The sequence below is a fragment of the Homo sapiens genome, chromosome 7 (genome assembly GCF_000001405.40).
Source record: "Homo sapiens chromosome 7, GRCh38.p14 Primary Assembly".
NCBI classification, from domain to species: domain Eukaryota; kingdom Metazoa; phylum Chordata; class Mammalia; order Primates; family Hominidae; genus Homo; species Homo sapiens.
The window spans coordinates 66425985-66453665 of NC_000007.14; the positions used below are offsets into that span (position 1 = coordinate 66425985).

Here is a 27681-nt window from a genome sequence, read left to right on the forward strand (position 1 = left end):
CCCATTTCCCCTAAGGTGATTACGACTCATTACCTGCCTTGATCACAATAGCTCATGGAACTCATAAATATATACACCTATTATGTACACATAAAAATTAAAAATTAAAAAAACAAAACAGAGAGAAAGGGAAATTTCCACCATCAGCCACAGGCCCTGACACTCTCTTTGTCCTAAACTCTTGGAGCTAAGAGGAGCTGATGATGGACTCTCTGGTCCCCTTCCTGGGGTGACACACACTTCCTTTCAGAAGTCCTGAAGAGTGTTCGACCTCAGGGCAGAGCACTTGATGACTCTCAAAATTTTATGCAGTTCTCTTCAACAGACCTCGTATTACTTGTCAGCCCAGAACATGAGTTCTCAGCCCTAGAAGAATGTGACCCACACTGCGTAACTTGACAGGCAGCCTCTCCTATCAAGTCTCAATATTTCTGGAACACAGCTACACTTCCCTGATCCCTTGGGCAACCCACCCCTACTTTCACCACTGATGGGTCACAGAAACACTCGCTACCAGCTGACGCCCCAATGAACCATGCCCTACCTGGGTGAAAGAGGCCAGGAAGGCCGGGGACTTCCTTATTAGCAATAGGTCGTAAAGGCTACGTTGGCTTGGACAAAACTCCCATGGAACACTCTAAATGTAAAGCAGCTGATCTTGAACTTTCTAGTAAGAGTCAGGAAAAACAAAAGTCCCAGGTCCATATTCAGGCTTTTAGAAGGCCTCCAGCTTCAACCTCTTTTTTTTTTTTTTCACCTTCAACCTCTTATGAGGTTCCCCGAGCAAAAGGTGCGGGGGGCAGAGTAGTCATGACCTATGCCATAGAATAGCAGAAAAGCTTGCAAGAAAAAAAACACATAGTATTGACCTAGGCCACTTGGATTCTACCCCCAGAACGTGCACAGGAAATTACAGAAACCAGTAATTTACTTAACAACAGGAGTTGACATGGGAAGATACACAAAGAGAAGCAGAACCCGAAAAGTGGAAGAATCACATCAGCAGAGAATGCCTGGAGCAGACCCTCTTCTGCGTAGAGGCAGTAAGATAGCCCACTCCCTAGAGGACCGTTGGGGCTGAGGTCCTGAAAGACTCCACCAGATTCTTTATAAACCTGATAATACCTTAAGCAAATCTCCATTTCTTCTGTAGCTTGGGTGAGTCTCTGGTTCCTGTAACAAAAGAAGCCTACTCGATGGCCAGCCTCCAACACTACTATTATCAGTTAACCCACTTCCTTTCCAGTAGAATTTCATTAACAATGTCTACATGAACAAGCCTTTCCAAGGCCTCTTTCTAATAAAGGAGACACTGGCCAAAGATGACCATCTCTCCGTTAAGATTTTCTTTTTAATTGAAACGTTTGTGCTGCACTCTTCCTGGGTCATTCCCATGAATGAGAAACAAACCTTATTAGGAGGCTGGACCTGTCTAGAACGGCAGCACCACATCAACCTGGGGAACTTCATTTATTTCCTGATTAAACCAGAAAAATAACTCACAGCGCTTCTCTAACAACCAGTCAGAGGCATCATTTTACTACGTTACTCCAGCGTGAGGATTACCTTGCCTTACCAGTTCCCTTCCTCTCTCCAAAATTATTTTGAATATATAAATGCAACTGAATCTTAAGAAATTTGTTCTATCATGGGAACAGTCAGCTGAATTTAAAAAACTACATAAAAAAAGAACAAAAAAAATTATTCTATCTGTATTTGACCTTAGTTTAGTTCAATGCCCAAGAAACGAGACCATAATCCCTGAAAATAAAGGGGGAAAAGAGTTAACCTGCTCTTCTGAATGCCATCAAATTCATAAAACTAACAATCTTACAAATCACTTTTACTACATTCCAATGTACCTTCAATAATCTGCATTTTACAAAGTTATACACTAATATTACAGTAAAATGTTAACTTTAAGGGGAAAACATCCCAATAAAAAGGCTCTTGGTTTCACTGACCTGTGATTGCCTTCAACACCGTATCAGACACTTCTGGGATGTCTTCATTAACAGGGACACACAGCATCTGAGGTGTAACCCAGTGAAGGGCTCTAAAGGGAGAGAGACAGTAAACAAGAGCTCCAAGGACAAACCGTGACCATTCGTCTTGTCACCTCCTTCAGTTTAGGGAAAGCCTGAGGCATCACTGACCACTCAGACAATCCCAGGCCCACACACATCACCTTTCGAAGTACTAGGTCAAATGACATGACAAAGCAGCTAGGATCCTAAAATGAGACTTCTCTTCTGTACTTATCACAAGAATGGAAGGCCATTTGCTGACTGAAGTGACGTTACACAGTGCTACCAAGACTGAAATGCACTCGGTATTTGAAAGTGACGATTTGAGAATTGGCTGCTGCCTGTCCTCACTGTCTACTGTGTTAATGTCCTTTTACACTCAGTCCTCAACTACTTTTTTTGTGGGGGATGGAGTCTCACTCTGTTGCCCAGGATGGAGTGCAGTGGCATGATCTTGGCTCACTGCAGCCTCTGCCTCACAGGCTGAAGCAATTCTCCTGCCTGAGCTTCCCGAGTAGCCAGGACTACAGGCGTCCACAATCAAGCTCAGCTAATTTTTGTATTTTTACTAGAGACGGGGTTTCACCCTGTTGGCCAGGCTGGTCTTGAACTCCTGACCTCAGGTGACCTACCTGCCTTGGCCTCCCAAAGTGCTGGGATTACAGGTGTGAGCCACCACACCTGGCCTCAGCCCTCAATTTCTAAGGCACACTGGAGCTCGCGTAGGACGCCACAGGCAGGATCACCATACCTGAATCACTGTGTGTTTCCTGGTCCCACCCTAACTGCACTCCAACTACCCTGCTGCAGGCCTCCCCTCTTGCTTGGTTACTGCTTTCCTTCTGCATCTTGGTCCAGGGCCCCTCTGGTTACTTCTGGCTCCTGACCTTGGGCTCCACAACTTCAGCCTGCCCAGTATCAACTCCTCACTTCAGCTGTGAAACTTCCAATACAGATCTAGCAAGTACCAGCCCCTTGTCTGGAACCTGGGACTCCGAGTCCCCTCTCCTCTTAGAACAACTCATCAGCTCAGCCTTGGCCCTGTTCCCACACTTGGGTGGTCTCTTCCTCAGTGTCCACCGCAACTGGAGTACACAGTGCTGGGGTTCACCCCAGTGAGCCTGGAAGACTGGGTGCTGTGGGAAATGTCATCAATCCAATGCTAGTGAAAGATGTGACTGGGGAATGGTGAAAAATGCACACCACTGGGAGGAATGAGGAAAGAGGACATCCACTGACTTGTTATTTTTTTGAGAAGGAGTCTTGCTCTGTTGCCCAGGCTGGAGTGTGGTGGCACGATCTCGCTTCACTGCAACCTCCGCCTTCTGGATTCAAGCCATTCTCGTGCCTTAGCCTCCCAAATAGCTAGAAGCACAGGCGTGTGCCACCATGCCTGGCTAATTTTTGTATTTTTAGTAGAGACGGGGTTTTACCATGTTGCCCGGGCTACTCTTGAACTCCTGGCCTCAAGTGATCCACCCACCTCAGCCTCCCAAAGTGCTGGGATTACAGGTATGAGCCACCGGGCCCAGCCGACATCCCCTGCCTTGATACGGATATTCACAGCTTCCTGCTTGAGGAAATGGTAATGGACCAAGAACACAGTCCCCCTGTTCCTTGGAGAGTTCAGAGATTGAAAACAATCTCAAACACCAAACACGACTTACCAAAAGCTGCCTTGAGGGAGATGGATAGGTGAGGTCACCACATTCCTTGTCTTTCTGACACCACAGAGCAGCTTCCACTCTAAGGAAGCAGAAACATGAGCTGTTGCTTTCTCTTAAGGTTTGAAACTCAGATGCCTTATTTTCCCCCAATATGTTCTTCCATCAGTAGGTAGTAAGCATAAAGCAAAACAAAATAAGCAACTACCTGATCCTCTTTTGAATGGCAAGATCTTTCATCTCATCATCAGTAGTTTCTGGACAGAACACATATTTATAGAGATGAGTCATGATGTACTTTTCAATCTGATCCATTTATCTTCTCAACTCATTCTGGAGGCACTGAAATAGCCAAACAGAAAAGCTCAAGAGAGTATATATACTCCTTGTACTGATAGTAAGTAAGCCACTCCTTGTACTGGCAGTAAGCATAAAAGTACTCACAGATTATATTAATCCTTCAGGAGAGTAAAACCCATCCATTAACATTATTTCCAGTATCCACTGTTGCAGGATTTTTCCTTAGTTCAGCTAAGGACGGGGTCCTTGTCCGTCTCAAGGCCACAAAAATTTAGGCTTACAGACGGTTTGAATGGTGAGTAAGGCAGGGTTTTATTGGGACTCTCACAAGGCCAGAGTCCCTGCTAGAGTGCTTTCTGCCAGCAGCTAGAATAATGGGTTTTACACAGTAAGAAGAGGTGCCAGGCTCCTCCCCGCTATCAACGGTGCAAACTTCAAGTTCCACCCCAGTGCACAGGCCAGCTGGAGTTTTTCTGGGGACCCCTTCCTACCTAGTGGTGTCTCACCATGACCATCTCATTCTTTTTGCTATATCTACATACTCTTAAATAGATTTAATGCATGTTTTGATAATTTACATATTTTATGGACACTTCTATTTATCTAACCCACCAAACATTTTTGGTGGCTTTATAGCATTGCATTATATTAACTGACTTATTCAACTCTCCTCTACCGCTGTGCATTTGGGTTGCTTCCCCTCTTTCATTGTTGTGCACTGTAGCAATAAATAATTTTGTAAGGACTATCTTCTTCTGAGTTAAATTCTCTGTGATACATTTCCAAAAGTGGCATTAACCACTTAATAAGAATAAACACCGTTACAGCACTAAGTATCTATTGCTAGCCACACTCCTCGGAAACTCAGTGCACACTGTCATTAACCACGTGTATGCGCTTATTTCCCTATGGCCCTTACAACAGTGGGCTTGATAATTTGTATTTGGTTTTACTGATTTTATACATAGAATATATGCATTTATTCCTCACTTTCTGCCAAAGAATATTTAAAGTCTATTTAAAAGATAAATGCAGTTCAGCACAACGGACTAGAAAATAAAAAGAGTAACAAATAACTGTAATCCCAGTGCTCTGGGAGGCTGCAGCTAGAGGATCGATTGAGCCTAGGAGTTTGAGACCAGCCTGGGCAACATAGTGAGAACCCATCTCAAGAAAGAAAAGAAAAGAAAAGGAAAAGAAAAGAAAAGAAAGATAATTTTAAAAATTTTTTTAAAATTTTAGGCCGGGCTTGGTGGCTCACGTCTGTAATCCCAACACTTTGGGAGGCCAAGGTGGGCAGATCACAAGGTCAGGAGATGGAGACCATCCTGGCCAACATGGTGAAACTCAGTCTATACGAAAAATACAAAAACAAAAGTATCCGGGTGTGGTGGCGGGCACCTGTAGTCCCAGCTACTCAGGGGGCTGAGGTGGGAGAATGGTGTAAACCTGGGAGGCGGAGCTTGCAGTGAGCCGAGATTGCACCACTGCACTCCAGCCTGGGCAACACAGAGAGACTCCATCTCAAAAAAAAAAAAAAAAAAAAAAATCACACATGGAGAGAGACCTAAATGACAAGACAGAAATGTTTTCCTGGAAGATGTCTAAATTAGTCAAGAGTCAGCCCATACATCTGTCTCTAACTAAACTTCTTAGCAATCATCATTAAGATGAAAACAGTTACGTAATTCAGGGTTCAAAAGATGAAAGCATGGTGTTTTTTAATTGGAGCATTTAGTCCATTTACATTTAAAGTTAATATTGTTATGTGTGAATTTGATCCTGTCATTATGATGTTAGCTGGTTATTTTGCTCGTTAGTTGATGCAGTTTGATGAGTTCATGTCCTTTGTAGGGACATGGATGAAATTGGAAATCATCATTCTCAGTAAACTATCGCAAGAACAAAAAACCAAACACTGCATATTCTCACTCATAGGTGGGAATTGAACAATGAGATCACATGGACACAGGAAGGGGAACATCACACTCTGGGGACTGTTGTGGGGTGGGGGGAGGGGGGAGGGATAGCATTGGGAGATATACCTAATGCTAGATGACAAGTTAGTGGGTGCAGCGCACCAGCATGGCACATGTATACATATGTAACTAACCTGCACAATGTGCACATGTACCCTAAAACTTAAAGTATAATAATAAAAGAAAAAAAAACTTAAAAAAAAAAAAGATGAAAGCAAACAAATTCTTCAGGTGAAATTCTGACACCAAAATCAAAAATTTCTCCCAATGGTTCTCACAAGGATGTCACAGTAGAAGAACATGAATAAGGCTGAGAACAAACCCCCAGGACTGGCTGTCACAGACCTCATCTACACAGGCCACTGACCTCACACGCCAAGCACCGATACATCCTGTGGAAGCCTGCAGCAGTCGACCATCTGGCTTAACTCTAAAAGGAAGGCAGGACACTGGGGGTCAGGGGCAGTCACCTCATTCCCTCAGTGAAAATGGCCAAGCACTCAAGCACACATGTGATCATGGTGATCACAAGTCATGGGATCACCTTGACTGCAGCCCTAATCACTGTCAACTAGTTACCCATATACATGCCATTTGGTTGAATTAAAATTGATCCCTCAACTATAAAAGCCTAGGTGCTACCTTTAGTAAAGTTTAGATATTTCACTATATGAAGCTCTTATTTATATTCATGACTTCCCATGTTTTATTTTTTATTGCACAGATTTTTAAAAAGTTAATACTATTAAGCCTTTTATCTGGTCATTAAAAACAATTCTTTTGGCTGGGTGCAGTGGCTCACGCCTGTAATCCCAGCACTTTGGGAGGCCGAGGCGGACGGATCACCTTAGGTCAGGAGTTCAAGACCAGCCTGGCCAACATGGCAAAACCCGTCTCTACTAAAAATACAAAAATTAGCTGGGCATGCTACTGCACACCTGTAATCCAGATACTTGGGAGGCTGAGGCAGGAGAATTGCTTGAACCCGGGAGGTGGAGGTTGCAGTCAGCCAAGATCATGCCATTGCACTCCAGCCTGGGCGGCAGAGCAACACTCTGTCTCAAAAACAAACAAATTTCTTGTAAGTTTTTAATTTTATTTCTCTTTTTTTTTTTTTTTAATATATAGAAACAAGGTCTCACTATGTTGCCCAGTCTCGTCTCAAACTCCTGGGCTTAAGTGATCCTCCTGCCTTGACCTCTAAAAGTGCTAGGATTACAGGTGTGAGCCACCGTGCCCAGGTAAAACAATTTTTTGATGGTTCAATTTTTGCTCCTCTCTACAGCTGAAATACGTATCCTAAGGTACCGTTCATATATTTTTTTCTTTTTTTTTTTTCCCCGAGATGGAGTCTCGCTCTCTCACACAGGCTGCAGTGGTGTGATCTCATTGTAACCTCTGCCTCCCTGGTTCAAGCGATTCTCCTGCCTCAGCCTCCCAAGTAGCTGGAATTACAAGCATGAACCACCACGCCCAAGCTAATATTTTATTTTTTTATTTTTTTGAGACAGTCTTGCTCTCTTGCTCAGGCTGGAGTGCAATGGTGTGATCTTGGCTCAGTGCAACCTCCACCTCCGGGTTCAAGTGATTCTCCTGCCTCAGCCTCCTGAGTAGCTAGGATTACAGGCACCTGCTACAACGCTCAGATAATTTTTGTATTTTTAGTAGTGATGGAGTTTCCCCATGTTGACCAGGCTGGTCTCAAACTCCAGTTTTTGTATTTTTAGTAGTGATGGAGTTTCCCCATGTTGACCAGGCTGGTCTGAAACTCCTAGCCTCTACTCATCTGGCTGCCTTGGCCTCCCAAAGTGATGGGATTATAGGCATGAGCCACCATACCCAGCTCATATCCTAATCTACTTTCTTCTCAATTTTTTCATGTTTAGCTCTTTGATTTGGCTGGAATGTAAGGTGCATGGTATGAAACAGAACTAAAACTCTATACAAGTGTATCTGTCATCACCATCAGCAGTTAGTAAAGCACAACCTTGTTCCCCCTCGTCCTCCAGGTGTCATGTAACTTGCTCCTGAGAAATTAAATCTATTTCTGAAATCTCTGGCTGATTTCACTGTTCCGTATTTTCATTTTTTACCCAAATCTCATCTAGGTGTGATGACTTTCATTTTAGAATATATTAAAAACTCTGCTGGATTTGGAAACATCCCCGCTTCACAAATTCTTGCTTTTTACCCCCTCACACAAAAAAAAAACATATGGTATATTTGTTTCCCTCTTTTTCTATAATAAATAATGTAACACAGTGATTCAAATGATATTTTAAGTGTTTATACTGACCTGCAAAGTATTTTTTTTTTTTTGAGACGGAGTCTCACTCTGTTGCCCAGGCTGGAGTGCGGTGGTGCAAACTTGGCTCACTGAAACCTCCGCCTCCCAGGTTAAAGCAATTCCCCTGCCTCAGTCTCCGAGTAGCTGGGACTACAGGCGTACGCCACCACGCCTGGCTAATTTTTGTATTTTTAGTAGACACAGAGTTTCGCCATGTGGGCCAGGCTGGTCTGTAACTCTTGACCTCAAGTGATCCACCTGCCTCAGCCTCCCAAAGCACTGGGAGTGTGATGACTAGGTTTTCACACTGGGTTTTCATGTGTGAGATATGCCTTGCTCAAACCTTGTTACAGCACTGGCACATTGCCTGTCGGATGTGAAGAAAGACAAAAAAAAGACCCTCATGCACATAACGGTGGAACTTGGCTCTGACAGGGTTCAGCTTGGTGGTGCTTGCTGAACACTTCCTGAATCTGACCTTCACTCATTGTGAGAGTTTCACAGAGGTTCTTCAGGTGATGGTTATTGTCTTTAATTTCTTCTTCTGGAACACACTGTGTTGCCTTCTCCAAAACATCTGCAACCTCTAACGAGTCCTTGCAGAAGCCCTGAATGCTACACATATTTGCCTCCTCCACCAATTTTTGGCTGCTCTGCTGCAAGCCCTCAGTATCTGCCAATGCTTGCTTATCTTCTTCCACAACCTCCTTCAGTTGCTCTTCTAACTTGACTTCTTCCATGAGTATCTTGTCCATAGAGGGAGTATCTGTCCCCCATTTGGTTTGGATCCACATCCTCTTCCAACTGCTGGCAACTGTTCTTTTGTTTTGTAACTGCGTGCGGAACAGAGAAGGCCTGGAGACAATGCCAACACCGGGATACTGTGTGGCACCAGCCTCACGCATGGAGCTGCCACGGCTGCTCCAGGTTGATGATTTAAGTTTCCCCTCGCCTATCACTATATGCCTCTATGACACGTTTTTAATTATTTTTATTCCTTCAGCGTAATTATCAAATACATCTTTCATCTACTTTTCTTCCTTAAGACTTACAGATGCTGAGAGCTCAGAGCTATTTCCACTGCCTCACTTCTCATCCTCAGTGCTTCTAGTTTTAAACTTAGGTCCTGGGTTGCTAGCCCTGCTGAAGTTCTCACAATAAGCCTATTTGCTGGTTAAAGTATGTTTTGGATACATACTTCTGTTCTTCTTATAGTAATTACACAGCAGGGCAAATTAATCCTTGCATAAATATATAGTTTAGAAGAATGGAGTGATTTTAAAATATAGAAGGACACCTATCTTTCTACTTATTCTGGGAAAGATCATGGAAATGAAGATATAGCCATGTCTTAAACTGTGTATTTTTTGTCCTCATTCAGGTACAAGGCTTTAAGTACATAACATATAATCAGTATCTCATTTTTTTTTTTTGAGACAGAGTTTTTTTGCTCCTGTTGCCAAGGCTGGAGTGCAATGGTGCAATCTCGGCTACCTGCAACCTTCGCCTCCCAGGTTCAAGTGATTCTCCCGCCTCAGCCTCCCTAGTAGCTGGGATGACAGGCGCTTGCCACCACGCCCAGCTAATTTTTTGTATTTCTAGTAGAGACAGGGTTTCACAATGCTGGCAAGGGCTGGTCTCGAACTCCTGACCTCAGGCGATCCACCTGCCTTGGCCTCCCAAAGTGCTGGGATTACAGGCATGAGCCACCATGCCTGGCTCAGTATCAGATTTTTACAGAAGGACTGGCTAGAAAAAGACCAATGAAACAAGCAAAAGGTGTTATGTTGTGCTTAACTGCTTCCTGAGAAAAAAGAGCTTATCAGAATGACTATTAAGAAGTCTTGGTGTAGAAACTGAATTGATTGCCATGAATGGAGTATTAAGGGATTAATAAAAATTAAAAAAATAAAAATAACTGAATTGAGAAACCCAAAAAATGGGCACCCCAGCCCATTTTAATAATAATTATTATTTTTATTATTCAAGTTATGTTGTACATACTAGGTTTTAAAATTTAAAAATTTAAAAATTAAGCTTTATTAATTTGGCTCATCAATTTAAATTCTTGCTATGATGATTTGTAAGAACAGAAAAGTAGCTGGTGACAACCGTATGTTCAACATAAAAGGATTTTGTGTAAATGACATAGTTGCCTGTCTCATTTGCAATAGAAATATCTTGTTTAAAGGACCTATAGAGGTACTATAAGAGTATGCATGTTTTAACATTAAATAGCTACTAAGAATAGCAAGAAAGAAAACAGAGCAAAATAAGCTACAGAAAAGTATTAGCAAACAACAGTATTTGCTGAATAGCACTAGGTGCGGTGGCTCACACCTGTAATCTCAGCTCTTTGGGAGGCCAAGTTGGGAGGATCACTTGTAATTCAGGAGTTCAAGACTAGCCTGGGCAACATAGGGAGACCCCGTCTCCACAAAAACTAAAAAACTCAGTCAGACATGGTGGTGTGCGCCTATAGTCCCAGCTACTCAGGAGACTAAGGCAGGAGGATCACTTGAGTCTGGGAGGTCAAGCCTGCGGTGAGCTGTGACTATGCCATTGGGCTCCAGTCTAGAAGACAGAGTAACACCCTGCTTCAAAAAAAGAAAGGAAGGAAGGAAAGGAAAGAAAGAAAGAGAGATGTGTTGCATAGTAAAGCATTACATGGAAATATTGCAGTGGGTATGAAAATTATGTAGGTGCTGAAATTTAAACTCTAAAAACAAAAAACATGTAAGTGTAGATAAAGTGTTTCTTGATAAAGATAAAATGGCTTAAAAATTTTAATGCAGTTCGGAAAAGATTTAATTTTCTAGACTTGACCCATATGCTGAAAAGGCTGCTCACCGCCGGCATATACTGGGATTGGTGAAAACAGAAATTATGTGGGAAAACATGTGGGCAAGAGCAGATCAGTCTTCTGGATCTCAGAAATTTTAGAAAGCATAATACTGTGGGATCCAGTAGGAACAATTATCCGTTTATGGCAAGGCTGCCTGGGCAGTTTTTAAACAGGTAAGAATGAATTCTCATATTGCATAGGCCCTTAGGATGCCATCTAGAAAGTTTAGTTGGTGGGAATAACATGAATTTAAAGTTTTTGAGCAGTTTTGATAAACTGAGTACAAAGGCTATTTTATACTACCACATTCTTCACAACGTCAGAGGAACTGCCCCAAGAAATTTATATGATTACTGATCTGAAGTTAGTTAGGTTAGTTCAGGTGTAAAGAGTGTTTATTTATTTATTTCAAAGGACATTAACTTGCAGCCAAAGGCCAAAAGGGCTTCTCTAGGGACATCCAGTTTAAAAAACATTTCTTTCATATACAATATGTGCAGACTTCATGTTGGTCACTAAAGATACCTGAGATACATGCATAGGACTTGGCCACCTAACCATGAAACACGTAGTGTAGAAATGGAAAATAGGTGGCTTAGTGGCTCTTAAAACAGGAGAAATCTGAGGCCATATCCAGGTCTCTGATATAAACTAGTGATGCCTTACAAATAAACATGGTGATATTTGTACCAGTTAATTACCTCTTTACTTTAGTACACTAATTTAGAAGTCTACTAAATTATTACAGAACAAGAACACATCACACTTCTGAGCAAAAGAAAAACATCAAATCCAAGTTGAGCAATTTTCTAAAACATATTATTATACAGCATATATGCTTAAGTACTACAGTATACATATTCTAAGTTAGTATAGCTATCCCGTCAACATTTCAGGTGGGCTCAAGAATAAATACAAAACCTCAGTTTTTAGTTCTGATAAAAATGAAAGATGTATGTCACATGAACTCCGAATTTTTCCACATTAAGATATCTATCATGGTTCCTAACTTAAAAAAAAAAATCAATAACAGCTCACTTGTTTTAACTCCAAATATTTTACTCTAGAGAGAAAAAATATCTAGAGAAAGACAGCTACTTACTTACACAGTCTAATTACATTTCTGAAGGGCAAGAAAGCAAGCTTTTCTCCTTTACAAACTGAATTCAATATCTAAAAATTATTTCAACACAAGTCCACTGCTTATTAGCCTAGTGATTGCTGACCCCAGCTAGAATATAGCTAAACAGTTAAACACCCTGCTGCTTTTCTAATTTCCTTTTTCTTTCTAAGACTTCCTTACTGCATAGAAGGAACTTTTGGAGCTAATTCTGAGTTTAATGGTTATAGAATGTTACAACAGAATTAATCCCTATTTACAAAATGATTTCCTTTACAGGGAGTCTCATGAATTATTGCCACTGAAATTATGGGTCAGAAATTATGGATAAAAGAAACAGGTGTGGAAGTCACAACTACTTGACATTGGCAAAATCTAGCTGTGTAACCTGGACAAGTCACTTATCCTCTTGGGCTCTCAACTTCCTCATCTATAAAATAAAGGGACTGAAACTCCATAGCTGCTAAAGTCCCTTTCTTGTCTAAATTCTATCTGTCCTTTCTCTAACTGAATGAAAAAATTCAAAATCAAAATACAAAAAACAAAACAGAATTCAACAACAACAACCCTTAAAATTACTGCCACTGGCCTAACAATGGTTGCACAGAGTTAAAGGTCTACTATGGCAGTTTATACTATTTACAAGGTCACAAGTCAAAAAGGCCTGTTACTAAAGCACATAATTCAAGTGGCTTCAAGGTCAGAATTTCCACACAAAGATGATTCAAACACCACTGAGTTGCAGTGGAAAAGTACTAGCCTAAGAGTTGGGTTTTAGCTTGATTCAGAGGCTTTTCTTAGGTAAGTAATTTAACATCTCTTGGTCTTGATTTTCTCAGGCATAAAATGACAAGGTTGCACTATATTATCTCTAAGACCTTTCCTCAAACCAAAACTCTATGTTTCTATGTGATTATTCTCAACCTACCCTTTTGTAATGCATCCCTTCCAAAAACAGCTTGGTCAGTTTATAGATTTCTTGGCCTGTCTTGCAGAAGGTCTTGAGAAATTCTATGAACTCCTTAGACACTCTATCCATTTCAATGCTGGTTTGCCGGTTTATGGAAGGACTGGGAGCTTTTGCTTCCTGAATTTCAGCTGGGAAAATTAAACATAGTAAGTTTCAAGACATAAAAGATCCATGCATGGAATTACTTTAAGTATCTTACCTAAGGTTATTTAAATTATGTTTCATCAAAGTTAAACTTGAATTTAAATCATTTTATGTTTGAGTGGTTGGACAACTTCCCTTAAACTAAATCTGTTTTACAAGTAGAAAGTATGAGTAGACAAAACTACATTATCTAAAAGATATTCCTACTGAAATAAAAGTTGTTCTATTAGTATTTTCTTTGCCAAAATCTATCATGCTTTGATCTATCTATTCAATCATGAACACTGAAATGGCACCACTAGGCTTCTCAAAGACTGCTGGAGTTTATAAAACTAGTCAACAAATAGAATAACAATCAATAGAAGCACTGAAATGTTAGGTACTTATAAATGTCAGACAACCTTTCCAAATCCCATTTTACTTAACAAAAAGGCAAAGGTTAATGTGTTTATGTGGAGACTCACAATTATTTACCCACCATTTCGTTGGTGAGTCATACTGATCAAAGTGAAAGAACGCATCCAAAGTATTAATAGCAAGATGAACACGACAAAGCATAAAATGAAGAGACAAGGGAAACATGCACTACACTATCCCACCGGCTGGGCAGACAATTCTTTCCCCTCTTCAAATAAACACACTGAAAGGAAAATGGAACATTTACACAAGAGAGATAAGGATGTTGTAACAGGCAGTAAGTGCTTTCAGAAAGTATGAACTACCACTTGGTCTCTGACCACATTCTAAGCCTCCTGATTTTGAACTATGCTCTCTAATGTTTATAAGGAATTTAAGTTCCCCATATCCCAATGATTTCCTAAAAATAATTTTTTAAAAAGGTATGTTTTATTTGATTTTTTTTTTTTTTTTGAGACAGAGTACTGCTCTGTCACCCAGGCCAGAGTGCAGTGGCAAGACTTTAGCTCACTGCAACCTCTGCCTCCTAGGTTCAAGCGATTCTCCTGGCTCAGTCTCCAACTAGCTGCAATTACATGCGAGTGCCACCACACCCAGCTAATTCTTGTATTTTTTTTTTGTTTTTGAGACGGAGTCTCGCTCTGTCGCCAGGCTAGAGTGCAGTGGTGTGATGTCGGCTCACTGCAACCTCCACCTCCTGGGTTCAAGCGATTCTCCTGCCTCAGCCTCCCAAGTAGCTGGGACTACAGGCATGTGCCATCATGCCCAGCTATTTTATGTATTTTTAGTAGAGATGGGGTTTCGCCATGTTGGTCAGGCTAGTCTCGAACACCTGACCTCAGGTGATCCGCCCGCCTCAGCCTCCCAAAATGCTGGGATTACAGGCGTGAGCCACCGCATCTGGCCAGAAAGTATGTTTTAAAGATATTAACCTACCTATTCTACAGTTTCTTAAATTTTTTTTTTTTTTGAGACGGATTCTCACTCTGTCACCCACGCTGGAGCGCAGTGGATCTCAGCTCACTGCAACATCTGCCTCCCAGGTTCAAATGATTCTCCTGCCTCAGTCTCTCAAGTAGCTAGGATTACAGGCATGCCCCACCACGCCCAGATAATTTTGTATTTTAGTAGAGACAGGGTTTCACCATGTTGACCAGGCTGGTCTCAAACTCCTAACCTCAGATGATCCTCCTATCTCAGCCTCCCAAAGTGCTGGAATTACAGGTACAAAACACTGCGTCTCGCTCTCAGAGTAATTCCTTATAATCTTTGATCTTCAGGAGTTTTTTGTTTTTTTTTTTGAGACGGAATTTCACTCTTGTTGCCTACACTGGAGTGCAATGGCGCGATCTCAGTTAACAACCTCCACCTCCTGGGATCAAGCGATTCTCCTGCCTCAGCCTCCCGAGTAGCTGGGACTACAGGCATGTGCCACCACGCCTGGCTAATTGTGTATATTTAATAGAGAAGGGGTTTCTCCATGTTGGTCAGGCTGGTCTTGAACTCCCGACCTCAGGTGATCCACCAGCCTCGGCCTCCTAAAGTGCTGGGATTACAGGTGTGAGTTACTGTGCCTGGCCTAACATTTCTATTTCTCCAAAATTTTCTACTAATAAAATCTTACATGTACCAAATGAAATATGTACATTTTAGCATTACTGGTAATAGCAAAAGACTGGAAATAACTGGCCATCACTGAGGGACTAAATAAATTATCCTTTAATCCATAAAATAAAATGCCATAGGGTTTTAAAATTAAAAAGTATGCTTCTTGTGTACTGATATGGAAAGAGCTCATAAATGTATTGGAAGCAAAAACATAAATTAGCAACATAGTGAGATGCGCTCTCTACAAAAAGTAAAAACATTAGCCAGGCATGGTAGTGCGTACCTATAGTGCCAGCTATTTGGAGGGGCTGAGGCAGAAGGATCGCTTGAGCCCAGGAGTTTGACTGCACTCCAGCCTGGGTGACAGAGTGAGACCTGGTCTCAAAAAAAAAAAAAAAAAAAAGTAAGGTATGTACACTGTGCTATGTTTTATATAAAACGGGGTAGTGGGGTAAGAATATACGTTTTTATAAATTAGAATAAAAGCACAGAAAGAGGATACACAAGAAACTAATAACAAAAGTTCTGGGAAAGTAGGGGAACAATAGGCGGGACGCGGTGGCGCACGCCTGTAATTCCAGCACTCTGGGAGGCCGAGGTGGGCGGATCACGAGGTCAGGAGATCAAGACCATCCTGGCTAACACGGTGAAACCCCGTCTCTACTAAACATACAAAAAATTAGCTGGGTGTGGTGGCAGGCGCCTGTGGTCCCAGCTACTCGGGAGGCTGAGGCAGGAGAATGGCATGAACCCGGGAGGCGGAGCTTGCAGTGAGCCGAGATCGCGCCACTGCACTCCAGCCTGGGTGACAGAGACAGACTCCATCTCAAAAAAAAAGAAAGTAGGGGAACAATAGCAGTGGTACTTAGGAACTAGATGGGCGAGAGACAAAGTAGAAAGGAAACTTCTAACCGTATCTGTTACGTTTGAGTCATTTGGATATACTACCTATTTTTTTAAGCACATAAATAAATCAGGTACAATCTAATTCAAAACAAAAAGAGCAACATCTTTTCTAAAATATTTTTTATGTAAATAAAAAACCAAAGATTGTGCTGACATCTGTATGATTAGGAAAAAAATCTTTATCAAAAATCCTTCTCTGTCAGATAATTCCACTTCCAGTCATGACGGAATAATCTGATGGCATCAGGTTTACCCTACTATCTTAACAACTGCAACGTCAAATATATGAAAGAAAGGTTTTCAGACATTGGACGACAGGTAAACAGCAGATTAACTCCTGAAAGACAGGAAACAAACACAGTCTGTCCTACAGTGTCCCAGCTCACTGCTGGGAGAGTTTTAAAGTCTTGGCACAGGGAGAGGCCACTCAAACACAGCTTAGCTGAATTGCTGAATTGAGGAGATAGCATTTGGAGTTCAGGGAGGCCAATGTGACCAGAATTTGCATGGCAAAATATCATGCAAACGCTATGGAGGGGAGAGGGCTAACAGAAAAAGCTCCAGGTATCTGCAGAGGGTTCCCTTGAGTGTGGCTGAGTACTACACATGCATATGAGGAAACTACCCAAGATGAGAGAAAGAACCACCAAGTAGCATGTAGAACCACAGCACGAAGGACGGGAGGAAGAAATATAAGAATCCTGTTTAAGATTCTTATATGTAAAGTCGTATAATACTATTATTAAAAAAATTTTTTTCTGTAAAGTGGTATAAATATTACTTGAAGGTAAGTAAGTTAAAGATGTATTCTGTAAAGCCCAGAACAACCGGTAATAAAAACCAAACAAAACAAAACAGAACAAAGAGGTGTAGCTAACAAGCTGATAGTGGAGGTAAAGGTGTGGTCATAAAGAAGGCAAGAAAAGAGGAGAAAAGGAACTAAGACAAGATGAGATAAACACAAAGAGCAAGATGACAGGGGTAAAACTTCCCTTATCAAAAATCACATTAATTACAAATGCTATAAACAGTCTGATTAAATGTCAGAGATTATCGTATTAGATTAAAAAACAAGACCTCACTTCATGTTGTCTGTAAGAAATTTACTTTAAATATAAAGATACAAATATGTTAAAAACTAATGAAAGGAAGAGGATACTCTGAAACAATGAAATAGAGCTTAAGTGGTTATACCAATGTTAGACAAAGTAAACTTAAGAACATGGACCATATTATCAAGAACACAGAGAGGTATCTCATCATAAAAAAGGGGTTAATTCTTCAAGAAAACACAGCAATCCTAAATTTGTATATACTAATAACACTGTTTCAAAACACATAAAACAAAATTTGATAGAACTGAAAGGAGAAACAAATTCACAATGATATTTGGAGATTTCAATAATCCTCGCTTAGTAATTGACAGAGAGATATTTTTAAAAAGTCAGTAAAGACAGAAAACTTGAATGATGTTATTAACCAACTTGACCTACCTGACATTGACAGAACACTCAACCCAATAAAAACATAATACATATTCCATCTGACAAAATAATAATGGTAGTATAAACTTACATATAGGTAATGTCTATTATGCACTAGGTACTTTTACAATGCTATTTTGTATAATCTTCACAAGTCTATCAGGTAGTACACTTATGATATTTACAAATGAGGAAGCTGAGGCTTGAATATGTTAAGTAACTTGAATAATGTTGCAGTCACTTATAAAGACTGGAATTTGAACCCAGGTCTGTGCACTTAAATCCAAACCCTGAGCTGTTGACTATGCTATAACTACACCTCAGTAAGCCAGAGAGGACTGAAGACTCTTTAGAATAACACCAATCCCTCTGACTTTGGAGGTCTGTACACCAGTCAAAGACAGGAAAACCCTACTCATTTCCTTTATTGCTTTGCTTACAACATGCTTCCCTCCCACACATACTTTTCCAAAGGACACTTTTGCTTAAAAAAGAAAAAAAATCTCCTTTTAAAATGTAAATGAAGATTAATTCTATTAGCTAGTTATGACCATACAAGTTACTAAAATCAACACTTTGTTGTTTTTCTCTAAGCTTCCTAAAAATCAACCCCTATTAAGAGGCCACAAGTTTGGATTAGAGAGGGGAAAGTGAGAGACAGTTCAGGTGTTTGGTACACAGGGAGGAGGTTAGTTATGTTTGAACAGCCAATAGGGATTCAGTGTGTAAGGTGAAAGAAGTGAAGAAGAAGGAAATATGGAAAAGAACAACCTCACCCACATTACAGTTCATAGTTTTGGCTAGGGCTCAAATGGCAAGTGCTTGCTCTTCAACTTAAAGTCACCTTGCGTTTTTGTTTGTTTGTTTGTTTGTTTTTTTAATCAGGGTCTCGCTCTGTCACCCAGGCTGGAATACAGTGGCACGATCACAGCTCACTGCAGCCTCAACCTCCCAGGCTCAAATGATCCTCCGACCTCAGCCTCCAGAGTAGATGGGGCTACAGGCACTAGCCCGGCTAATTATTATTATTTTTAAGAGATGGAATCTCACTATGTTACCCAGGCTGGTCTTGAACTCTTGGGATCAAGCGATCCTCCTGCCTCAGTCTCCAAAATGCTGGAATTACAAGCATGAGCCACTGGACCAAGCTGCACCTTATGTTTTTAATACAGAAACAAAGCTTGTATTTCAGGAATAGCAAGTAGACCATGATTATCAAGCCTTCCATTGCCCAATCTCTCTCTTTTTTTTTTTTTTTTTTGAGGAGTCTCACACTCTGCAGCCCAGGCGGGAGTACACCGGCGCATTCTCGGCTCACTGCAACCTCTGCCTTCCAGGTTCAAGTGATACTCCTGCCTCAGCCTCCTAAGTAGTAGGGATTACAGGCATGGGCCACCATGCCTGGCCAATTTTTGTATTTTCAATAGAGACAGGGTTTTGCCATGTTGGCCAGGCTGGTCTCCAACTCCTGGACTCAAGTGATCTGCCTGTCTCGGCCTCCCAAAGTGTTGGGATTACGGGCGTGAGCCTCTGAACCTGGCCTGTCTCCATGCTTCTTCCACAGCCTGCAGAACTGTGAGCCAAATGAACCTCTTTCCTTTATAAGTAACCCAGCCTCAGGTATTCTTCTATAGCAATGCAAAGGGATTAAGCCATTGTTTTATGTACCTTACAGGATAGCTACCAAATTCAGGAAAATTTACATTGATAAAATACTTTTACTCAATTGAAAATCCATATTCCAAGTTTCTCAATTGTTCACAATGAGCAGTTCACAATTTTCCCAACCTTTGTTTCTCTCAGCATGACACTTCTGAAGAACACAGGCCAGGTATCTTGTTGAATGCCATTTAGATTGGGTGTCCTCATGACTGGATTCAGGTTGTTAAAAATTTTCGGCTTAGATATTTCATAAATGATGTTGTGTTCTCAAAGTGTCATGTCTGGAAGCACACATGACATCTATCCTTGCCTCCTACATCCCCATTTTATAGTTACCATTTCTCTATTTATAATTAATAAATAATCTGGCTGGGCATGGTGGTTCACACCTGTAATCCCAGCACTTTGAGGCTACAGTGGTGGGATCACTTGAGGCCAGGAGTTCAAGACCAGCCTGGGCAACACAGCGAGACCCACCTCCCGTCTCCACAAAAAAAGGAAAAAAAGAAAAATAAACACATAAATAATTCATTGGCAGTGAATTTGAGATCATGTTCGTAACTTGTTTCCTGGGAAACTCCCTCCCCTCATCCAAGATTTAGCACCCAGATAAACTTTACCTGAATCAATTTTTGCTACTAACATGACTATAACCTCTCATTTGTGTATTTCTCTATTTTTTTTTATTTTTTTTTTATTTTTGAGATGGAGTCTTGCTCGTTGCCCCGGCTGGAGTGCAATGGCATGATCTCGGCTCAGCACAACCTCCGCCTCCCGGATTGAAACGAGTCTCCTGCCTCAGACTCCCAGTAGCTGGGATTGCAGGCATCTGCCACCACGCCTGGCTAATTTTGTATTTTTTTAGTAAAGACGGGTTTCTCCACGTTGGTCAGGCTGGTCTCGAACTCCCAAGCAAAGGTGATCCACCCACCTCGGCCTCCCAAAGTACTGGGATTACAGGCGTGAGCCCCCGTGCCAGCTGTATTTCTCTATTTTACTAGTTAAATTAACACACGGATTATTATTTTGTTCAGTTATACTTCATTTATTGTCCTTATTTATTGATTTCTTCACTTTATTTTTTTTTTAAGACGGAGTCTCGCTTGTTGCCCAGGCTGGAGTGCAGTGGCACGATCTCAGCTCACTGCAATCTCCACCTCCTGGGTTCAAGCCATTCTCCTGACTCTGCCTCCCAAGTAGCTGGGATTACAGGCACACACCTCCACACCTGACTAATTTGGTATTTTTAGTAGAGATGGGGTTGTGCCAAAAAAAAAAAAAAAAAGACAGAGATGCGGTTGCACCATGTTGGCCAGGCTGGTCTCGAACTCCCGACCTTAGGTGATCTGCCTAACTTGGCCTCCCAAAGTGCTGGGATGACAGGTGTGAGCCACCGTGCCCGGCCTTATTGTCCTTGTTTATTTTGACACTCAAATTATCCCAGACTTGGCCAGTGGAAACCCCTCCAAGCTGGCTTCTAGATCTTCTGAAATGTAACCAAAATATTGAAGGGGCCTTTTTTTCCCTGCCCCAGCCCCAGAATCAGTCATTTCTCTAAGAAGCCCTGGCTCACTTTAATGAATAATACTATTTAGAATCTAAGGTCTGGGTGGTATTGGTATTTTAACTCTAAAAAAGAAAAGATACGCTTTGGAGGATCACTGTCTTTAGATCTGTTTGTGAAAGAGGTACACAAGATTCTACTTGGGATGACAAGATTATAGGAGTTCTGAAAGAAAAGGGCACTTTGGAATGTATAAGCAAGTGATCTCAGCTTGGCCAACCACTATGACTTCCTCTATACAGCTCACTCACCATGACTGTGGAGACTAAAACACTTTAACTGAGTCTTTACAGTCAAGACATTCCATTTACTTTCTCTGAAAGTGAATCCAACTCTAAAAAAATGTGAAAATATTCTTCAAATTCCTTAGAAGGTTATTTGTATTTTGTCTGCTACCAAGCTGCTGTGTATGGCGAAAAGCTTTCCTTTATGTTACTAACAGAAACAAGCAAAATACCAAGAGCAAGGGCATCACGGACTAAAGAAGATCAAGAATACAAAATCCAAAAAGTCTGTTTCTAGTCTAGACCCAATACATTAAAACTGCACTTAGGCTAACCTTATCCAAACACGATGGCCAAACAAGTAATCAGTGTGAAATGCAAAATTTACCTGGCTAACTTATATTAAGTGATCTGTGAAACAAAGACATAATGGAATCTTCTCTTCTAACATAAATTTTCAAATACTTTAAGATCTTTATCCCCAAAGCTTTCTACTGACAAAAAGCAACTAAAGAACAAAAAATAGAAAGTACAAATCTACCATTCAAAAAGATGCGGGGTGGGGAGAAACAAGAACAAAGGTAAAAACCATTCTGCATACACATTTTTAAAATAAAAGTCACTTGGATTGTTTCTTTTTTTAACTAATTAATTTTTTCAAAGATGGTGTCTCACTCTGCTGCCTAGGCTGGAATACAGTGGCACAATCACAGCTCACTGCAGCCACTAACTCCTGGGCTCATGTAATCCTCCTACCTTAGTCTTCCAAGTAGCTGGGATTATAGGTAGGTACAAGCCACTGCACCCAACTCGAGAATGGTTTCTTTTTAAAGTACAGACTCTGCACTAAATTGTAAATCTTCTTTCCATAGTATCATGCACACTGTACAGAGGCTTTTGGGACACAGGTTTTTAAAACCACCAAGGAGAGTCAGCGAATATAAATGACAATTATGTACTTAAGTAACAGAAACTTGATTATATATATATATTTACTATTTATTATATACATTAAATAACCTGGGTTTCTGAAGTATACACATTGAATAAAGGAATATAATGGAAAAATATTGACCCAGGAGTTAGGAAACCTGAGTTCTCATGCACAAACTCATCGTTCAACCTTGGGTAAATTAGTTAACCTTTATGGACTTTCATATTGTCATCTGCAAAATGAGGCTATTAGAGCTGATAATTCGATGATTTTTTTTACTATTTCATCTGTTATCATACTTACCATTTCACTACATATCATCAAGAAACAGACTTTAAGCTAAATAGGAATGAAGGAACTTAATAATAAATGGCCTTGAGCTCCCTGCAAGATTATTCTATCAGAAGAATAACTTGCATTTTAAAAAAGCTAACACTTACTGGAGATCTACTGTGTGTGTCGGGCACTGTGCTAAGCTCTTTACATATGTCAACTAACTGAATCCTCATCAAATGTCTCTGATAGGTATTACTGTCCCTCAGTGTGGACAAGACTTGGTTAGTCCGCCCAGGGTCACAAAGCTGGTAAATGACAAAGCTAGGACTCAAATCAAGAGTGACTCCAAAGTCACCTTACTAACCACCTGAAAATTTCACCTCCTAATAAATAAATCATAAGCTGAATACATTCTTATTTAATCTCTGGCAGGTGCTAATTTTTTTCCCCTTTTTAGTAGAGACAAAATAGCTAAAACTGGCAGCCAACCAAGAAACAACTTCAAATTAATCATGTAATCATGCCACTGTGCCCAGGGAATTTTTGTATTTTTTGTAGACATGGGATTTCACCATGTTGCCCAGGCTGGTCTCAAACTCCCGAGCTCAGGTGATCCATCCATCGTGTCCTCCCAAAGTGCTGAGATTACCAGGCATGAGCCACTGCACCTGGTATCAATGTCTTAAAGAGAACTGTGTTTTTGGTAAGCAATATTTCCTTTTATTTCCTTATAATAAAACAAAAGGAAACAGCAAAAGTCACAAAACCTAGAAGACTGGCAAGGGTCTTAAGGGTAACAGTGTCTTATTATTCATTCCCCTGCCTCCAGGGGAGACCTCATTACAATTACCCCAGGGTAGGAACTGGGGAGCAAGTGATGGGGCTCCCAGAGAACAGGTCTTCTGACAGCATCAGTGTTGGTTCCCAGTCTCCCTCATCATTTCACATTAACTGTATAACTGAGTACCAACATAAATTTTCAGAGACCGAGGCCTAACCACAGAGATTCTTTCTTGCTTCACGTTGGGCCATTCAACTGGCTTGTCTGCTCAATTATAGAACAACTGTGACTTAAGTGACAATCTTCTTGCTGGTCATATGGCATTTTAAGAAGCCAGGTGAATATGATCACCTACATACAAATCCATGCACTGGAAAATAGCTACTATGGCTCACTTTCATCCCTCCAGGAGCCCAATGTGGGCCTTTTCCTATATGTTCTCAAGACACAAGCTGTCTCTCAAATAAGCTCTCGGGCAGAAAATCTCTCTCTCAGATGACTTTCAAGCCTAGAAATCACCATTTCTGACAAGCTATGAACAGTGAGGGTATTACCACAGAACAAACCAGGATCCACAAATAAAGGCACAAAAACCAAAACATCCAAAGAGATAGTCATTTGGATGGGGATGAATTTCATAAACAAAACTATCTATTTCAATTCTCTTTATTCCTCCTACAGAGTAAACAAATTTCTCTAAAACACAATGTCTTTCAACTAAAGAGAGTATTGGTTTCATATATTGTCTGACCCTCAAGCCCAATTTCAGTGTCAAATCTGAGCTGATGATCTCAAAAAGTTGACAGAAATTACAAAGCTGAGCCTATGAGCATTGGGGATCTCCTCTGTGTCTCACTCAGGCAGAGAAGAAAAAAAAGAGTATCACAACATTACCCTTCTTTGATCCGACCCTGGAAGACGTACTGAAGATTTCTTCACTGTGGTAATCTTGCGGGTCTTCTCGTTGGTTTTCTTTCCTTCAAACTTGGAGAATGTGAGGGATTGGGCCCCTTGGCTGCTCTGACTGCTGGCAAAGGCCTCTTCTTCCTCCCGCTGGAGTCTGCAATTCAAGAGAGGATTAGAATGATCTAGATATTCTCCAAGATTTCTCTGTATCTGAAGGTTATTACTCCATTAATTCAGGAGGATCTAAAGATTTTAGAACTAGAGACTAAATACGCCAAATCAGTCTGAGGTCTCACATAGCTACAGGATGGACGGCTCTTCATGCACTACAGATTTCAAATGGCATCTTCTCATGCTCATTCAGCAACTGGTCTAGGGTTACATGAAAGAAATCAAGTCTAGTCCTTTTCCCCAACAAGCTCAGTGAAATAAATAAAGTCTAGTCCTTTTCCCTAACAAGCTCAAGCTTGGAACAAACAAAAAGGTAAGTAAACAACTGCTATATAATGGGACAGCTGCTACATCAGAGAGTAAAAATTGAGTGCTATGAGAACACAGGAAAGAACAACACAATCTGCTGGAGGAGTCTGATGAGGCTTTACAACGGTGATGTTTGGGGTGAGTCTTAAAGGACAAATAGGATCCTTTTTTGTTTCTGTTTTTTTTTGTTTGTTTGTTTTTTGAGACAGAGTGTCACTCCATCACCCAGCCTGGAGTGTAATGGCACGATCTCAGCTCACTACAACCTCTGCCTCCCAAGTTCAAGCAATTCTCATCCCTCAGCCTCCCAAGTTATTGAGACTACAGGCACACACCACCACGCCTGACTGATAAGGATGATTAGGATTCTAAGTGAAAGGACATTCCAGGAAGAAGGAACTACAAATGTGCAAGCCTGTGGTTTGCTTCACAATAAACTGAATGTAGCCAGAGCACTGGGCGTGTGATGAACTGTGATGCTGGATACACAGGAAGGCACCAGAGGGTAGGGAATCTTGCCTGCTAAGCCCATTGCTAAGCCTATTCTGGATTTCATCATGTGGTGGGGAAGCAAGAAAAACTGCAAGTCCAAAAAGTTATTGTTGTCAGATCTGTGCTTTAGAAAGATCATGCAGGTAGCTATGTGAACAACTTGAAGGATAGAGAAACTAGAGACACGGACAGGAATTAAGCGTATATTATAAAGGTTCAAGTAAAAGAAAATAAATACCTGGAAAAGAAGAGGAGCAAAGATAAAATGCAAAAGACTTTTCTAAGTTGGAACAAATGGAACTTGGTCAAATTGTAGGTGCCAAGGGAGGTTAAAGAGAAATCAAGAATGAAACCAAGGTTTTTTAGCTAACTTGGTAAACAATGATGCCATTAATTGACTCAGGAGAAGGGTTAGGAGGAAAATGTTCAGAATGCGGAGAATAATAAATAAAAGCAATAAATTTGGGTTTGGATTAGCTGCATGTGAACCATCTGTAATAAATCCCAAAAACAGGCCGGGTGCGGTGGCTCACGCCTGTAATCCCAGCACACTGGGAGGCCAAGGCAGCCGAATCACTTGAGCTCAGGAGTTTGAGACCAGCCTGGGAAACATGGTGAAACCCTGTCTCTTCATAAAATACAAAAATTAGCTGGGCGTGGTGGCATGCTCCTGTAGTCCTAGCTACTTGGGAGGCTGAAGCAGGAGGATCACTTGAGCCTAGGAAGCAGAGGATGCAGTGAGTTGAGATTGCACCACTGTACTCCAGCCGGGGTGACAGAGCAAGACCCTGTCTCAAAACAAAACAAAAAACTCAAGCACTATCTATAAGACAGTGGTTCTCCAAGCGTGGTTCCCCAGACAGCAGCAGCACCATCACCAGGCAACTTGTTAGAAATGCAAATTCTCTAGTCTTACTCCCAAACTACTAAAATCAGAGACTCTGTGGGTAAGGTCCAGCAATCACTGCTTTCACAAGCTTTCCAAGAGATTTAGCAGGGTCACAATTAAAAGCAGTAAGAAATAGAAACAAAAATCACAGGGGAGGTGCTAAGTCTGAGTATGGAATCGGGACACTTCTTTCTCTGGGACGGACAAGAAGTTAATATAAAGGTATTAGTACATTTTTATGTGGCGAAGGGAGTAAGCTGAGGCAGTTCGTGCCTAGTGGCCTCTACTCTGTTTTTGAAACAGGATCTGCTACTGACAACATCAGGCATGCAGTGGAAACCCTGAGGAGATCATTCATGTTCTTGGCTAAAATTTTCTCTTTGATGACCACAGTCACTGAAAGCAATGTGTAATTTCTAATTCTCTGAGCTCACCACAGGTGCCAGCAAAGTAGTCACTCAACAAATATTGGCTGACTGGATGAAAAAACAAAAAAACTAGCAAGAAGAGTTGGCAGAATTCCATTTGCCTTTCTTCTGTTGAAGCAGTTTTAGAATTTCTAAAATGCTCTGGCAAAGAATTAACATTATTCATGGCATTTTATTAGTTCCTATGCTCAGTAGCCATCCCATCATTTAATTTTTTTTTTTTTGAGACAGAGTCTCACCCTGTCGCCCAGGCTGGAGTGCAGTGGCACAGTCTCAGCTCACTGCAACCTCCGATACCTGGGTGCAAGCAATTCTCCTGCCTCAGCCTCCCAAGTAGCTGAGATAACAAGTGCACACCACCACGCCTGGCTAACTTTTTAAATATTTTTAGTAGAGATGGGGTTTCACCATATTGGTCAGGCTGGTCTCAAACTCCTGACCTCAGGTGATCCTCCCACCTCAGCCTCCCAAAGTGCTAGGATTACAGGCATGAGCCACTGCGCCTGGCCCATTATTTAATTTTTAACATCATTATATTTCCAGATAATACAAACTGCCTTTGAGTAACCTAATTTTTAAGGAAAAGTTAAATTTCTATAATGCAAGGACTATGTATACAAGTCAACAGATTTCTACTACTGTGTTTTATCACTGAGCTAGATGCCACGCTGAATATATTAAAAGAATGAGGGAAATAATGCTTGATGAGTGCCATTTGCAAGCCCTGCACTGGGTACATCATATTTATTAGCTCATTTAATCTTCACCAGGAAATATGCCTATCTCCATTCTTCCATTCCAAGGAGCTTATTGTCTACATTTGAGAACCAAGATTAACATAACCCAAAGAATATAATCAGAAGTTAAGACATACAAAAAATGAAGAAAATACTCAAAGCTGTTCATTAAAGGTTGACTGAGAAGAAGAGGGGAAAACATCCTTTTCCTTAATTTTAAACTGACTTGCTGATAGGTCAAAGCAGAAATTTAAAAAAATGTATTTGGATGGTGACAGAAGTATGTATCCAGTCACGCCACTGTTCAACCGCCCCTAGTTAAGTCCTTTTACCACTCCGCCAGCTCCCAGTCCTCCTGAATCTCCTTCTGCCTAGCTTTGTGGTACTCTTCCCTCCAGCACTTGGAGCAGAAACCCTGCCAGTCAGGGTTGCCGTAGTAACCACATCCTTTCTTGCACAGGAGGTCCGACTGATGCACATGAATTCCTCAGCGTTCAGACTTAAGGCTCATCTTCTTACTGCTAACCAATGAACAAATGACAAAGTGCTGTTGAAAA

At 41.1% G+C, this 27681-nt stretch overlaps 3 pseudogenes; 1 reads left to right on the top strand and 2 right to left on the bottom strand.

Moving 5' to 3' along the window:
• RABGEF1P2 (RABGEF1 pseudogene 2) lies at positions 1965-27650 on the bottom strand (annotated as a pseudogene).
• On the top strand, positions 8523-8634 carry LOC124901855 (uncharacterized; annotated as a pseudogene).
• On the bottom strand, positions 8549-9273 carry GRPEL1P1 (GRPEL1 pseudogene 1; annotated as a pseudogene).